At 38.7% G+C, this 17,279-nt stretch overlaps 1 long non-coding RNA gene across 4 annotated transcripts in view; it reads left to right on the top strand.

Moving 5' to 3' along the window:
• The window catches only part of HEY2-AS1 (HEY2 antisense RNA 1), a 171,898-nt gene that overhangs the window by 152,538 nt on the left and 2,081 nt on the right, over positions 1 to 17,279 (top strand). The window lies entirely within an intron of this gene.

Genomic DNA, 17,279 nt, shown 5'->3' with positions numbered 1-17,279 from the left:
TACCTAATAGAGTTTCCTATGCTTGATCTCACAAAACAACTTTCAAGATTACAGAACCTTGAGCATGCATATTACAGGTGTGAACCCTCACAATCCAAAGAAATGGGTCTCTTAAAAGAGGCCAAGTAATAATACAGATTTTGGAGGATAATCCTAATTTGGCAGGAGAAAAAGCATCTGTGGCTTTACCCTATTTCTGTCCTTGGCAATGAAAGTGTAATAATTATGCAGTCATCAGAAGCATTGTTAGGAATGACCAGACTTTGGAAAAAAATAAAATTAAACACAGTGATAAATGGGGTATTAGAGGGATGTGTGATAAAAGAGTTCAGAATACACTTTATTTTACATGTACCAATTGGTAAGGGCATGAGCCTGTTGAAAAATCTTATTATAATGGCCTAATAAATGTAAGGCATCATGCTAGGTCTTATAAAGGGTTAAGAATCAGCATGCGTGAGGGCCTGTTTCTGTAAGTTTTCTGTAATGCAATGTAATACTATGAAAAGGAACCTTGCCCAAACACAGGTCTCAAATCACTTGGCAAGGAGTGCTTCTCAGGTGGGCGTCACGGCTGCCTATGTACTAATGGGTCCCCAATGACATTTCTCAACTAACAAAACTGACAAGATACAACAGGCTCAAGGTACCTACAGATCATTTCCTTCCTGTTGCAAAATGCCAGTGCCATCTTACTGCCTTTCGCACACACAGCAAATTGTTCTGGCACTCTGTCATATTAGGAAGCTGCCTATCATAAAGGCCTGTGAGTCCATCCCATGAAATGTCAAATATATTGTAAATATTAGTGATGGGCCAACCTCAGAAGTGTTGGAGATTTAGTCTTGGAAAAGATCCAAAATTTGTGAGCTTATATAAACACTTTTGATCCTGAAAAATTGGTCTTGCGAGAACAGGTTCTCTTCCAAGGTTTATGGCATTATTTTTGTTCGGTGTACCTGAAATGAATTTTTGGGGGAAATTTTGCTATTTATTATTTTTTATATTTAACATTCTGACCAAAACAAAATGCAGCAAGGTGTGTGTGTTTTATAAGAAAAACAAATTGATTTTCCTTTTGCAGAAAGTCATTTATCTGAAAATTGGACTAGAGGTATTAATCAGTCCTTATTTTACTAAAATTAATTCAACATTTCCAGTGAATTATAATGCTGGCATTAAATGTTTAGAAGGAATAAAAACTGCATTGAGATTTTCATGACAAATATTAAACAGGTGTGAGCCAACTTTAAAGCAAACACAATACTGTGTTAACAGTTGGTATACTGCATTTAATTTATGCTTATTTGGACATAGTATTTTCTGTAACATCCACATACAATATGTGTATGTGTATATAAAGAGTATATCCAGTCTAACACTTATCACTGAGATTAACATTTCTCAAGCCACAGTTACATGTAAACCATGGAAATGTAGGTTTTAAAAGAAGACTCTGCTAGATTTCAGTTTCAAATCTAATAAAGAGAGCTATGATAGTGCAGAATTTCTCAAATTGCATTCTTTGGGATATAAATACATATGACATGAATAGTATTCCATGGTAATAAATTTTGGAACTGTAGTCTAAGCACATTTCTTTACTATAGGACTTCTCATACCCTTTAAAATGCAATGCAAAACTTCAATTGAATTTTTCAAGTGGAAGATCATCCTGAAAGACTAGGTGTTCATAAACCAAATTCGGGGCATACTGCTATAGTGGAAAGTGCACTCTAGTTGGGGTAAGAAGATTCAGATTCATGCCTTGATTCTGCCATTTACTTGAAGTGTGACGTTGTTATTTTCTTTATTCCCTGGAGGCCTGGCATAGTGCCTTTTCCTTTGTAGGCATTTGATAAATATTGGTTAAGTTGATCATAGCCTTTTAATTTTTAGGAATAATTAATTCAGGCAAATTTTTACTAGCTGTGTTATGTTAAACAAGTTATTTACTCTCTCTGAAGCTCAGTTCCCTCATTTATAAAATTTAGGTATTTAATCATTGGATTTCAAGTCCTTTTGATTATTAGTTAATATTATTATTAGTTAATATTATTAATATTCATGGTACCACATGGATCTTTCTTCAAATAAAACCTTATGTAAAAGTCCAACATGCAACACAGATCAAAAGTGGAACTGCTCAACTCAACCAGAGGTGAGTTCCTCACGACTGCAAGAGCCATCTCCATCCTCCCCCATCCCAGTCTACTCTGATATTTTTCCTTGCCCCTGTCCTCAGGTGTCTCTGAGGAATTCCTCAGGCTCCTCACAGCATAATCAGAACAATACTGATAGAAATAACTTCAAAAGCTGCTTTGAGGTAAGCATCTTAGATTTTGCTGGAGAAATATAGAATTTTTATTGCCAAGATTAATAAGCTTTTGGGAGAAATAAAATGTAGTTAAACCCCTCACTACCTGAAAAAAGAAAACATCCTTTTCATGAAGCAAACACAATCTGAAACAAATACAACAGAAATCAAGCATATACAAAACTTAAAAATGACAAGATCCAATTTTGGCTTCGGTGACATATTTGAAAATTGAAAAAGACATTTTTACTTCATTATGTGTAAATGACTAAAAATCCATAAGAAACCTCTATCATCCTTATAATAATCTTTATAGTCAAGACTGAAATAATGATTGTAATTTATCATGGCTTAGTAATCCCTCATCACTATAATTTTATAATCAGTTTATTAATTATCCATGCATGCAAGGATGGCTAAACATTTAGTTTAGCATTTCAATTAACATTGGGTGAAATGGCAGTGAAAAAATATATCTGGGGGACAAATAGCTGCTGAGAAATCACCAGGAAGCATGTCAGTGATGTTTTTACAAGAGGCCTTAGGTTTTCTTCCTGATGTGTACTTTTAAGAAAAGAGAAACAAGTCTAGACTCTGTGTCTGAATCAGCCTTTTGAAGGAAGACAAGCTCTTGGAGATTCAAGGATGAGTGCTGCTGATATCACAGTAGAGTACAGACCTGCCTGAAGCCAAGACCCACTCAGTCTCTTCCTCAGCACATACATGCTGTGGGAATCATGTATGTTTCTAGAGTCTCTGCCTTCCTTCCTCCAGACAGAGAGGAGTTCAAGCAGGACTGGTTGCATCATTGAAGCAATCAACTTCATCAAGCCCCATTTTCTCATCTGCAAATGACATCAAATTTATGTTAGGAGCTTATTAATTTAAAAAAAACAAGTGGCATGATGCCTTCTGAGGATGTTATTCCCATATGAAAATTTGCACCAACTATATTTCAGGATTGGGCTACAAACTCAGAGAGGGGTATTATTACTAGGTCACCGTGGCATCCTGGGGAAATGTTTTATTCTACGGGTTATGATCCTCAGATCATGTTTAAAATGAAAGTTTTAGATAGGAGAACAGAGCAAACACAAAGTGTGCAGATGCTTCTAAAGTGAACAACAGACAAAAACAAAACCTATCCAAGTTTGAGAGTAAGTGGGCAAGGAAAAGTGGTCTAATTCAAAGACAAAACTAAACCATAGGTATTAGTGCATTTTCTGTTGCTTATAACAGAATACCTAAAGCTGAGTAATTTTTTAAAAGACATTTATTTCTTAAAACTATAGAGGCTGAAAAGTTCCAATCTGAGGGGCTGCATCTGCTGAGAGCCTTCTTGATGTTGGGGACTGCTGAGGAGTCCTTGAGGCAGCCCAGGGTATCACTTGGCAAGGGCACTGAGGGTGGTACCTCAGGTCTCTCCTCCTCTTCTTATAAAGCTACCAGTCCCACTCTCATGATAATCCACTAATTCATTAACCCACTCATCTATTAACCCACGAATCCATTAATCCACAAATGACTTAATCCATTCGTGAGGGCAGAGCCCTTATGATCCAATCGCATCTTAAAGGCCCCCCACCTTTCAAGACTGCCACATTGGGAATTCAGTTTCCAACACATGGAATTTGTGGGATACAATCAAACTGTAGAACCATTTATTTGTAAATTTTAATCTGAAGGTGCAAGAAACCCCAGCAAAACTCATGTTACCCTATGGTGTTTCATTGAAAGCACAATATAGGGAATTTAGAATATAAGAGGAGAGTGTGAGATCCTTTGGATAGTCTCCATGTCTGACTCAGTGTTGGTAAATTGTGCCCTTTCCTATGCTTCATAACTTGAAAGAAACAGAATTTGCAGGGCATTCAAAGGTGATTAAAAGAATGGAAAAAAAGTCTGTGGAAGAAAGGATTAAGGAAATGGGCATGAATTTAAAAGAAAGTGAAAGGAAAGGCCCTTTGAACATGTACATATTTAAATAATTTTAAAGACTTCATTTCCATTTCTTGCTCCAGATTTTATGGAGAATTTCCTTTCAATAGACAATCACTACTATTTCATAACATTTCCATAATCAAAGTGTGAGTAACCAAACACAGCAAATGAGTTAAAGTAAATTCCAGAGGTACTAACCATGGTTGTGTATTAAGTATTTATGTAGAACATGGAATTTTTAACTTTCTAGTTGATGAGAATTAAACTATGTTTATAACATATTATGTATTTGATGGTTGGGTCTGCTGTTCTATAATTACACTGTGTTTTACTCAGATGCTGCATCAGGTTAACTTCTTTATGTGTCAGTATCAATCTGCAACAGAGAGAAAGAAGAGTGATTCAAAAATTTACTTTAAAAGCAATTGTATAACAAATTAGAAACAACTGATCTCTAAGAATTATTTAGATGAGGCAAGCACCCAATAGAATTAAAACTAGTTTACTATGGATTTATGCAATAAAAGGGATGGAGAATGCTAATATGGGTAAGGATATGATTGTGGGGCGATGTGGCTCATGTCTGTAATACCAGCCACACAGGAGGTTGAGGCAAGAGGATAGCCTGAGGCCAGGTATTTGAGATCAGCCTGAACAACATAGTGAGACCCTATCTCTACGAAATATTTGAAAAACTCAGCTGGGGGCTGGGCATGGTGGCTCATACCTGTAATCCCAGCACTTTGGGAGGCCGAGGTGGGCAGATCACCTGAGGTCAGGAGTTTGAGACCAGCCTGACCAACATGGAGAAACCCTGTCTCTACTAAAAATACAAAATTAGCCGGGCGTGGTTGCGCATGCCTGTAATCCCAGCTACTCGGGAGGCTGAGGCAGAATAACTTGAACCCGGGACGTAGAGGTTGCGGTGAGCCAAGTTCGCGCCATTGCACTCCAGCTGAGGCAACAAGAGCAAAACTCTGTCTCAAAACAGAGACAAAACAAACAAACCTCAGCTGGGCATGGTGGCACATGCTTATAGTCCCAGCTATTTGGGAAGCTGAGGTGGGAGGCTCCCTTGAGTCCAGGAGTTCAAGGCTGCAGTGGGCCATGATTGTGCCACTGCACGCCAGCCTGAATGACAGAGGGAGACCCTGACTCTTAAAAAAAAAAAAAAAAAGGATGTGGTTGTTAATCTTGGTTCTTGGTTCTTGGTCCTTGGCCTTGAGCAAGGTGCTTAAAATTCTCTGAAGCTTAGCATTGTCATCTATATAGTAAGGATTACAACATAAATCTATAAGGTTATTCTCAGAAAATGAGATAAAAATCTTCATGGGATGGTTGAAAGAATTAAATGAGACAATTCACGTAAACTGTTTCAACAATCCTGGCATGCAGTAAGCACATAATAAGTGTTAGATATTATTATTATTGTTAGAGAATGAATCTAACACTGTGCCCAGTGCCCAGCACAAAGTGGAACTCAAAAATATTAGTTAAATCGGAATCTAATAGAACAGACTTTAAAAAAGTGGGTTTCTTCAGCACAGAAATGGGAGTATCAAAGGGAAATACATTAGAAATATATGACATCTTGATGGGAAATTTTAGAACAACTTTTTTTTTAAAAAAGAATCCATTTATTCTGAGGCCCCAAGAAGATCAATATGAGAAGACTGTGGCTACATATTTTTTATGGCTTCCTATTACTTTCTGTAGTCTTCTCAAATAAATCCTTTTCCGGTTTAGAAAAAAAAGTGCAGCTCACTGCCATAGCTCATTTAATTTTACATAAACATGCTCTTTGAGGCTGAAGCAAATTCTGACTGATTTTCAATGTGAAAATAGAATATAAAAACTATTTTAGGAGTTATTTATAAACAGAACTAGCATCAGAATCGTCTGAATCATCAGAATCATCTATTTTGGAAAAGTTGGATTCATCAAATGACTCTTTGGCCAACAACTGTTGGAGAACAATGTTAACATCATACGTGGAAATGCTATGTTTTCTAGGATTTGACATTTTCAGTGATGGAGAATTACTACATTTTGTAAACACCTGGAATAGCAGTGGAAATATCACTAGTGAAAACAGAATGCTATAAATAGAATGATGCCTTTTATTTCCAAAGTCAGTATACTAAAGCGATGCAAAATAATAACAAAAGCGAGATATTTTGTGGTGAAATTATCTCAAAGAAAACACTGCAGCAGCAACAGCCAGCGAGTATTCTTGGGGCTGCCAGTGAGTATTCTTGGGACATACAGGAAAAGGCTTAAACAGTAGCAACAACAAAATATAGAGGCCACCATAAGGCAGCGGCTTTAAGATTTCTTCTTTTTTCACAGTTGTTTCTAAGGGTATTGGTGTTATTTGTTGGATTTGTGATATATATGCTTGTACTAAATTCACCTGGTATCACGATGTGGAGAAACCTGGCATTTGAAGTCTTTGAACACAGACTCAGAGGCATGTAATCTCTATGGAATTCACTAGCAGTTTTAACTAGTGCACCTTAATTTTTTTTCATTTTATATTTACACCAGTGTCCTTGTAAAAAAGTTTTTTTTACTATAATTGTAATTTTTTTTTAATTTGACTTTTGAGTTCAGGGGTACATGTGTAGATTTGTTACATAGGTAAAGTGTGTCATGGGGACCCTAGAACCCATTACTATTTTTCCTGATCCTCCCCCTCCTGCTAGCCTCCACCCTCTGATTGGCCCCAGTGTGTGTTGTTGCCCTCTATGTATCCATGTGTTCTCATCATTTAGCTCCCACTTATAAGTGACAACATGCAGTATTTGGTTTTCTCTTTCTGTGTTAGTTTGCTAAGAATAATGGTCTCCTGCTCCATCCATGTTCCTGCAAAAGACATGATCTTGTTCTTTTTTATGGCTGCATTGTATTCCATGGTGTATATGTACCACATTTTCTTTATCCAGTTTACCACTGATGGACATTTATGTTGATTCTATGTCTTTGCTATTATGAATAGTGTAGCGTAACTTATTCATCAAATTGCCAAATAGTACAGATTAAAATAGAAAACCCAAAGAGGCAATAGAGGATAAAAGTATAAATAGGTTGATGAAGGGCTCAATAAATAATAAACTCATCATGGCTAACAGAAGGAGCTGGGATGTTTGCAGCATAGTCTTTGCCTGCTGGGAGCTGCTGTCGTGGAAAGTAGACATGCCATTCCAGTCTGACTCTGGTACACTATATGGAGGAATCCAAAATCATTTGCTTTTGCTCATGTAGCATGACCATTCCTGGTTAGAGCTGGGATAGATCACCTTAGGCCATTGTTCCCAAAGAATGGAAGATTAAAATTTCCAGGATAGGTTACACAAAACTCCCTGCAGATTGACTATTTAGCAGTTGCTTTTCAAATACAAAAGGGCAACTAACATTCAGGTACCCTGCACTCTGCACAGCTTGATATAAGTTGACCTTCTGAATCTAAATGTATTAAGTTGACAGGGATAGGAATAATAGCAATATAAAAAGCCTTCCTCAAAAAGAGGAATTTGAGCTGAAAGACACTGAAATGTGACAACCAGCAAACATAAGAGATGACTCCAACAATCTCCCAGGTCCTGGTTCATAATTTGAGTGGATATTTTAATCATAGATTCACATAATGCATCAGACCAAACATTTGTCTTATTTTGGAATATAAATACACTAAAAGAAGAAGGGAGAGGATGTTGAATTCACGATCTTTCTGCAGAAATGCTAATCACTTTGATAACAACATTTGAGGGAGGGCAAGCAGAGATCAAAGCAGTCAGCAATGCAAATCAGAGAATTTGCTCCTCTAACCCCATGCCTAGAATTAGAGACAATTTACATTTAAGAATTGTTTCCAAAGTGCTATTGTCATCCTTCCAGCAAGCCAGGAAGAGGAAGAGCAAAAACTAGCTGGTGCCCATGAGGTTCCAGTCTATAAAATATAGTTTCTTTGCCACACCTTAGGATTAACCTTCAACAATGTGGAAAGCAATGCCTGTATGTATTTTTAAGCCTACTGCCCACACAATCATAATACAAAGAACCACGCCAAGCGTCAGGACAAACAGTAGATAACCAAAAGCACTCCCATCAATCATTTGCATTCTGATTGGCTCCTAGGTCTTGTCTAGGTCATATTATGACTCCTTTATTAGTGTTTAAGGTCACTAGGAGACACGCAAGTGCATCCTATCAGGAAGTGTAGTGAGTCTCAGGAGTGAGATATTTGGCTTTAGCAGGCACCATGGCTGTGACTCGGAAATCCAGGGAAATGAGTTAAGCTCAGTCAGACTCCAGGCGCCGCACTGCCTCATAGCAGATAGAATGAAGTAGAATAATAGAAGCTTTCCTGCTATTCTCAACATTAGGTTGAATTCCGGTCAGCCCTTCCAGTTGAATTTCTGGAGGGTTTTTTTTTTTTTTTTTTTTCTATTCAGCCCCCATGCTGTAGGCCATAATTCACGGGAAGGGGCTCCAGTGAAAGGCTGGCCCCAAGTTCAGGCAGGATGGTGCCAAGGGAGCCCTCCTGCAGGAAGACAGATTAAGGGGCATGTGGACCATTCGGTGGTTGAGTGCAAAATTTAGTGCCTACATTGGGCTCCCAGAGAAATTACTGCCTGGCTGATTTAGACCTGACAACCACACATAAACATGAATACTTAGATTTGCACATACTCCTTTGCACAGTGACTAACTGCATCTGCTTAAATTCAGTGGGGAAGGAAAGAAAGGCAGCAATGGCCATCTCCCCCACCCACCGGGGAGCCTATGTCCTGGCAAGATAAGCTCTCAGCCTGTCTGGTTTGAGCTAGGCTCATTCTTTCCCCCATATGATTTCTATTTGAGGTCCCCCAAAATTCAGATGACCTCACTGGGATATGAATCAGCAGCCTGAAAACTTTCCCTTTTTGGTATAATGATAAAATGCAGTTGTTAAGCGAGATGGAATATCTAGCATAAGTCACTTCAAAAAAGAAAACTCTATATTTCTTTGAACTGATAAAAGTACCACTAGTTATCACAAAGGCAGAATTGTAAGTAATGAATTACTACCTTCTTTTTTTTTTTCTTTTTTTGAGATAGAGTCTTGCTCTGTCACCCAGGCTGGAGCATGGTGGTGCAATCTCGGCTCACTGCAACCTCCGCCTCCCTGGTTCAAACGAGTCTCCTGCCTCAGCCTCCCGAGTAGCTGGGATTACAGGCATGAGCCACTGCACCCAGCATGAATTACTACCTTCTTACTTCTATGAGCTCCTTCCATCTTCCCTTTAAGACAGAAAAGCACCAGTATGTGCTGAGGGTTGAGATGAAACTGAGCACCTCAATGTGCTGAGGGTTGAGATGAAATGTTGCGCTGTCATATGTGGAGTACTGGAGTTTATATAAATGTTCATACATTTGGTCTTTGATATTGGAAACTGTTGGAGCTCAGAACACAATATTACAAAGTATGACGCCTTGATATGGCGAATATTTTGAACTGAAGGAAATTGGAGGGGTTTCAGAAGGAAGTTCTCTGTGATCTCCTGCCCTTCTGTCTCTCACCCCTTTTTCTCCCCCAAAGTGAGTAGTAGAAACCAGATTTTTTTTTCCTCCAAGGTGGGTCACAGAAACTATAACCCCTCTCCCCAAAACCAGCCATAAAACCTAGACATATTACCCTAACTTCTCCCCACCTTTCTGTGTTAGAGCTGGCCATAAAGAAACTCTCTGACCTATCAGGTCATTAAGAGCCTGGTTCCAGCAGGGTCCTGCTCCATACCCAGGAGGAAGGAATGCTGCACAGAGAGGCCAGGAATTACCTGAAGAGACAGGCCTTGTTGGTTTCCTCCCTTCATTCTATTATCCTTAGATCATACCTTTTTGGTCCAATCACATTTCTACAAGACTGTCCCTTCTTTATTGAACTGAAGCATAAAAACAATTTCCTCTAGGTCTTCGCATCTTCTCTTCTGAAGGCTCTCATGTCATGTAAAACTTTTATTAAATAAATGCATTATGCTTTTTTCTTGTTTACCTGTCTTTTGTTATAGGAGTGTTGGTCGTGATCCTGTGATGGATGAGAAAATATATTCCACCTTTCTGTTCTGCCAAAACAAAGAATAATTTGAAGCTCAGGAGACTGTTTTTCTTGTGACTGGTGAGCAGGCAGCCCTTTAGCTCTATCTGCTCAGGACCCACGTGTGTATACCTGAGACTGGTTCAGAAGGGCACAGCATCATCAGGACAGGGGTCTCTGGGCTGCCAGCTTTCAATGGGCAGGCGATCCATGAGTGGCTCTTATCAGGACAGGATTGCGTTCTGAAAACCTCAGGGCCTAGCAGTGTCTGACTCAATGTAGGTGCTCACTAAATGTTTATTGAGTGACTAATGAGTGGAGAAGCTGGCTAAGGTCATGACTACACATCACTAAACATTTAAAAGAAAGAACAAAATACAGAAATGTGATGAACAATTTCCTATTCAGATACCTGGAGAGTTAACATTTTAAAGACTACATGATCTGAAAGACTACTTCTGGTGCCCAAATCCTGCAACTGTTTTTGAAATGGTAGACTGCGTTTTCTTCTTCTGAGAGATATTTAAGCATTTTGTGGTCATTCTTCGAGAGACCTGGGGAAGTACCAAGGCCTGAGAAGACGGCAGAAAGTTTCTTATTGGTAGAATTTGAACAGCAGGAGCAGCTGAATGTGTTTTTCTCCTGATACAACAGGGCTTTCTTGAGTTAAAAACTTGTTTTGAAGTGATCATAGACAACACATGTGATGAGAATGCTTTGTGTGTGTGTGTGCTACAGGGGTGGAAGAGGTTGTGGCATCATATGTGTGGAGTGCTACATGAAAGAAGTTTCAGATCACAGGTCCCGGTGCCTAGGGACATCCATTGTGGGCATGGACCTCAAGCCAAGGTACAGCACAGAGTACATGGCCTCTGCCCATGAGCAACATGTGCAGCCTCCAGCAACGTGCCACCCAGGTCATTGCACTTTATCACACTCCAAAATCGTGACCTCATAGGGCTGAGAGCTTTGACATTTGGTCAAGCGTACCTTTCTGGTCATTTGAAACTATGTCAGGTAAACAAAATATAACTTCTTCATTATCACTGGTGTTGTGGAGAGGACAAATGGGCAGGCAGGGAAGATCTCTATAAAGACTTAAAAACCCATAAGCCATTTTGGACATCAAACATCAGTTGCAAAGTACCACTTTGATGAGTTAAGAGTAAGTGAATGAGAACCAGATGGATTAAATTCCCCTTGAAATACACATTGGATTAAAAATTAAGAGAAGTCGTGCTAGATATATCGCATTGTTTCAACCACTAGCCAAAGTATTTAAAACAAAAGAGATATTTGACAATTTAGTGACAGTTCGCCCATCTCTAGATTCTGAATTTGAATTTGGCTGCATGAGTAGTTGGAGAGAAAGTTTTATGTACATGAAATAGAAAAATATTTCTTGGAATACCTACAGTAGACCAGAGGAAAAAAATACCTTCAATATGTATTTTATTTACTTGCTTAGGTAAATAAGTGAACATAAAATTCCACAGAAAATGTTTATCAAGTTACAAGTGGGTAGAAACGAACAGTTGCATGTGTGTACATATGAACTGGCCCAGGCACTTAATTAAAGATGCTTGATCATGTTTGACAGATCTTAATAGGTACTTAAAATGCGAACACACACACAAAGACATTTACACATCTGTGTGGCGCGTCCTGACCCTGACATGTTGATCAGCCCTTCAGAGAGTTGCTTTTCTTAGTGATTACTCACTGACATGTGACCCTCCACACAGGCTGCCTGTCCCGCTGTGACAGCAGGCAGGCCTGAGCTGCAGGCACTTGGAGAACAAGATCCCGGCATCTCAGTGCCCTCTGGCTTCCATGCATAAGCTGCTGAGTAAACAAAGGGACACGAATTTTATGCCGAATAGCTCAGTGGTGTTCCTGCAACAGGGTTTGCTCTGTTTATTTACTCGCAGTTCTGCAGAACTCCCTTGGGCATGTTTGAGGCGGAGGCTCTGGATGCCCAGACAGTCTGTCTAGAGGTAGGAATGGCTTCATGAAACACTATCACCCTCACTTGGGTCTTCTCTATGTCCTTGAAAGTGCTGTTCAGTCCTTTTCCTCAGAGGGTGTGTGCCAAGACAAATGTTCTAAGTGCAAGTTGTGAACCATCCAGATTTGTATTGAATTCACAGCTCACCATTTGCTATCTGAACTAGAAAAAGTGACTCATTTTTTGAACCTCAGTTTCCTCATCTAGGAAATGAGCTTAGCAATATGTCCTCACAGGTTAGTGGTGAGAGAACATGTGAAAAGTGCCTGGGATGTGGTCCTGCTCCAGACATGGATGCCATCCATTTTATTAAGTGGAATAATCTTTTTTTCCTTTGGTCAACAAACATGGTTGGCCAAAGTGAGTGAAGCAACCTCACTGTCATATCCTCTCTTTGGTCACTGAGACCAACATGGTAAATCCTAAAGTTATACTGAGCACAGCCCCTAGAGTCACATAGTTTTGACATCCCATCAACATTTCACTGGTTGCATGAGAACGTTTGCAGTCTCCCAGCACTCTTGAGGTTCACAGTCCAGGTCAGATGAAATTCACTGAGTCATTAAAAGGGGAAGTAAGAATAGGTTACCAATTTTTAGATTTAATTTTTTGATGATTCTTGTTTTATTAGCCCCATATATAAAATATAAATTTTTACATGGATATGACACTAAAAGCACACTGAAGGAAAAAAATAAATTGAACTACCTCAAAATTTAAAACTTCTGTGCATCAAAAGACACAAATCACATAAATGTGTATAAACACTATCCGTCAACTAAAAATAAAAAAAGGAGCTGGGCGCAGTGGCTCACGCCTATAATCCCAACACTTTGGGAGGCCAAGGTGGGCAGATCACCTGAGGTCAAGGAGTTCGAAACCAGCGTGGCCAACATGGCGAAACCCTGTCTCTACTAAAAATACAAAAATTATCTGGGCGCAGTTGTGGGCACCTGTAATTCCAGCTACTCGGAAGGCTGAGGCAGGAGAATGGCTTGAACATGGGAGGCGGAGGTTGCAGTAAGCAGAGATTGCACCATTGCACTCCAGCCTGGGCGACAGAGCGAGACTCCGTCTCAAAAAAAAAAAAAAAAGGAAAAAAAAAAGACACAATCAACTGTGTGAAAAGGCAACCCACAGAATGGGAGAAAATTTGCAAATCATATATATATCTCTGATAAGGAGTTAATATCCAAAATATATAAAGAATTCCTACAACTCAGCAACAAAGCTAGCAACTGAATTAAAAAGTGGTAAATGACTTGAAAAGACATGTTCCCAGAGAAGATATACAAATAAACATATAAAAATATGCTTAACATCATTAATCATTAGAGAAATGCAAATCAGAACACAATGAGATATCACTTCACACCCATTAGGATGGTTATCAAAAAACAGAAAATAACAAGTGTTAGGATGTGGAGAAACTGCAACCCTTGTACACTGTTGATGGGCATGTAAAAACGTGTAATGGCTATGGAAAACAGTATGGTAGTTTCTCAAAAAATTAAAAAGGGAATTACCAGTAATTCCACTTCTGGGTAGGTACCAAAAATAATTAAAAGTGGGGTCTGGAAGCTATTTTTACAACCATGTTCATAACAGCATTATTCATAATAGCTAACAAGTATCCATGGACAGATGAATGGATAAACAAAATATGGTATATGCATACAATGGAATATTATCCAGCTTTGAAAAGGAAGGAAATTCCTACACATGCTACAACACGGATGAACTTTGAGGACATTATGATAAATGCAATCAGCTAGTCACAAAAGGACAAATACTGTATGATTCCACCAATATGAGGCCCCTAGAGTGGTCAAATTCGCAGAGACAGAAAGGAGAATGGTAGTTGCCAGGAACTGGGGGAGAAGGGGGAATAGGAAGTCATTGTTTAATGGGTATACAGTTTTAGTTTTGCAAGATAAAAGAGTCCTGGAGATTGGGTGCAAAATAATGTAAATGTATTTAACACTACTGAACTGTACACTTAAAAAGATCAAGATGGTAAATTTCATGTTATATGTATTTTACCCAATTTAAAAAATCAGTTTATACAAGAGAGATTCTAGTGCCCTCATGGAAGTGTCTTTGCTAAAAAGCGATGAACCTCAAAAAATATGAATACTCAGAAAAAAATATGAATACTCAACCTTAAGAAAAAGCATTGAAAGTAATGTTAAATACCTGTTTTCAATGTGTTTCCAACATGTTGATATGGCAAGAAGTGAATCCAGTTCAGAAATAGAAATTAATAGAGTTGAAATGTTGCACATTAGAGGGAAAGGGAACCGGCGGTATGGTTTACATTTGTTACCTTAAACCATCATATTTCCATCAGTAAGCATTACTTTTAGGCTATAGATGTGACTACTAAGCCTCTAGGAGGTAAGAGCACTTGTTCAAAGTCATACAGGTGATAAGTTGTGGAAACAGGATTTGGACCCATTGCTGGAATGCATTGTTAGTAAGGAGAGAAGTGAGCCTGGTTAGAGCGCAGTACAGTCATGGATAACAAAGGCTGGAATTTATGAACATATTAGGAATGTAACTGAAAGATAAGCAACTGTGACTTGCTGTTAGGGAGACCAAATATATAAACCCTAGTGCCAGTTTATCAGGAGTCATCCATGAGGTGCTCTGAGACATGATCAGTGTGTACCATAAGTCACCTACTGCAAACCTACTGCAAATATCAACCAGCTGGAGCTGGTTGGATGAGAAGCCAGTGTTTCTGGATAAAAAATTAGGCTTCATGTTTTCCATTTAAGTCTCCACACCTGTCCTCAAAATCACATTAATCCAGGTGTAATTGAATATGAATTTATAAAAGTACATGGGAAATGAGATTTTATGTCTAATTAGATATTTTTCACAGTTTGGAATGGTTAGTGAAGTTGAATGAGAAGCCAGTGTTTCAGTGTTTCCTGCCAGGAACCTCAATTTTCTAAGCCAAAATATGTTTGGCATTTTAACCCACGTTGATATTACCTGGAGCTCTGGTCTTCCAGCATCTCGGTCCAGCTGAGCCTCTCAAGCTGGGTCCACCAATTCTCCTGGGACTTGGTCAAACTCAGATAACTAGGGATAATGGTCAAGATGTAGGCTGTGGAGCCAGATTGTCTGGGTTCTGATTCTGTGTCTGACACTAGCTGTGTGACTCAGGGCAAGTTTCTTAACCTCCCCATGTATACTTCTTCATCTATAAAACGGTGATAATAAGAGCATCTTTCTCACAAATGATTTGAGGATTAAATAAATCATGGTATATAGAGTGCTAAAACAGCTTCTACCTAGCACATAACAAACCCTGGATGAGTGCAAAATATTATTTTATACCAATTGTTAGAGATATATCACATGTCAGGCATGCCTCCTAGGAAAAGCATTGTTCTTTGATATTGCCAAAGAACAAATGCATGTATATCACCAGAACAAATACATTTAACATGTAACATATAAATTATGCAACTTGTAACACATATCAAATTCTATACCTTAAGCAAACAAAGCAAAGCGAAAACCATAGTATATGGAAAATTTTTAAACATGCTTACACACAAAAGCATATACTTAAATCTTCAATGAAACTGCAATGTTCCATTAGTTTTCTTCAGCATTTCTGAATCTGTGCTTGACTTATAGATCAACTTCTCTCTCAAAAGCTAGAGCAGGTTGTGGATTGCTCCAAAAGTTGTAGTTTATTCCCAGTATACCTTCGGAGTTAGCTCTAGTTTCTATTCACTCTAGGCAAGGTGATTTAGCACATCTTTTCCTGTGAGAAACCATTACTGAGAAGGATTTTCTTACATGGGGGCAATGCTCCTTCCCCTCCATCCTCACTGCCCACTCCAGTTCTCCTAAGAGAAAAGGGCAATGAAATCACCCAAGTGAACTTTTGGTTCTACCAACCAACTAATCAAGCCCCTTTGGTGGTGGTGGTGATAAATGGTGTGTGTGTAGTTGGTTTATATTTACAGATAATTGTCTACCAAGAGAAGAGCAAGAATCCTCGGACTAGTGGTGTTTTAAGATTTTTCTATGTTGCTCATTTGCTCTCTCAATTCTATATTATTTATGAAAATAACCATTATTCACTGGACCCTTGCTATGTTCCATGTGCTATGCTAGGGAATTTATAAATACTATGTTATGTAATACATTAACACTATAAAATAGACTTAACTACTCCCATTTGCAGTTCAGGACTGAAGCCTGCAGAGTTTATATGACACAGCTTGTGAGTTCTGGAGTCATCGAGTCATGGGGCCAGTTATCTGATTCTGAAAATGAACTCTTAACCTATATGCTCTACTGCTTCCTAGTATATTCTACAATCATTGACAGGATTTAAAATGAGTTCCGAAAGTAGATCAACAGAACAAAAAATGTATCGAAATCTCCAAAACAAAAAAAAATTTGATTATCCTAAATAAAAAGTTTTCAAAGAAAGTAAAATGACATCTTATATGAGTTAGGGCAGAGGAACCACAAAATTGGAAGGAAGCTTAGACGTCATTGGATTTATTCTCCATTGCAGGAAACTCATATGAATGCTTGCCAAGCCTCTGCATGAATACCCTCAGCACTGGGGAACTCACTACCATGTGTAGAGCTGATCTATTACACAGCTAGGGCTGCTGGAAAGCTCTTACTCCTTTTCAACATAAATCTATTTTCCCAGGCTTTCCTTCCACTTTTTCTGGCTCTTCTAGGACAACACAGAGTAATTTAATCTGTCTTCCACAAGATAATCCCAATTTATCATTTACAGTTTGGTCTTCTTACATGACTGAAACATGAATTACTCCTGGCATAATTGGAGTTGGTGTAGCATAGAGGAAAGCACATAGGTTTTGCAGTCAGGAAGTGTGTTCCAATTCTGGCTCAATCACTTATTATTTATAAAATCCTAGGGAAGTTACTTA

The sequence above is a fragment of the Homo sapiens genome, chromosome 6 (genome assembly GCF_000001405.40).
Source record: "Homo sapiens chromosome 6, GRCh38.p14 Primary Assembly".
In the NCBI taxonomy this organism is placed as follows: Eukaryota; Metazoa; Chordata; class Mammalia; order Primates; family Hominidae; genus Homo; species Homo sapiens.
The sequence above is the reverse complement of the archived record's forward strand: the minus strand, read 5'-3'. Positions and strand labels throughout refer to the sequence as shown.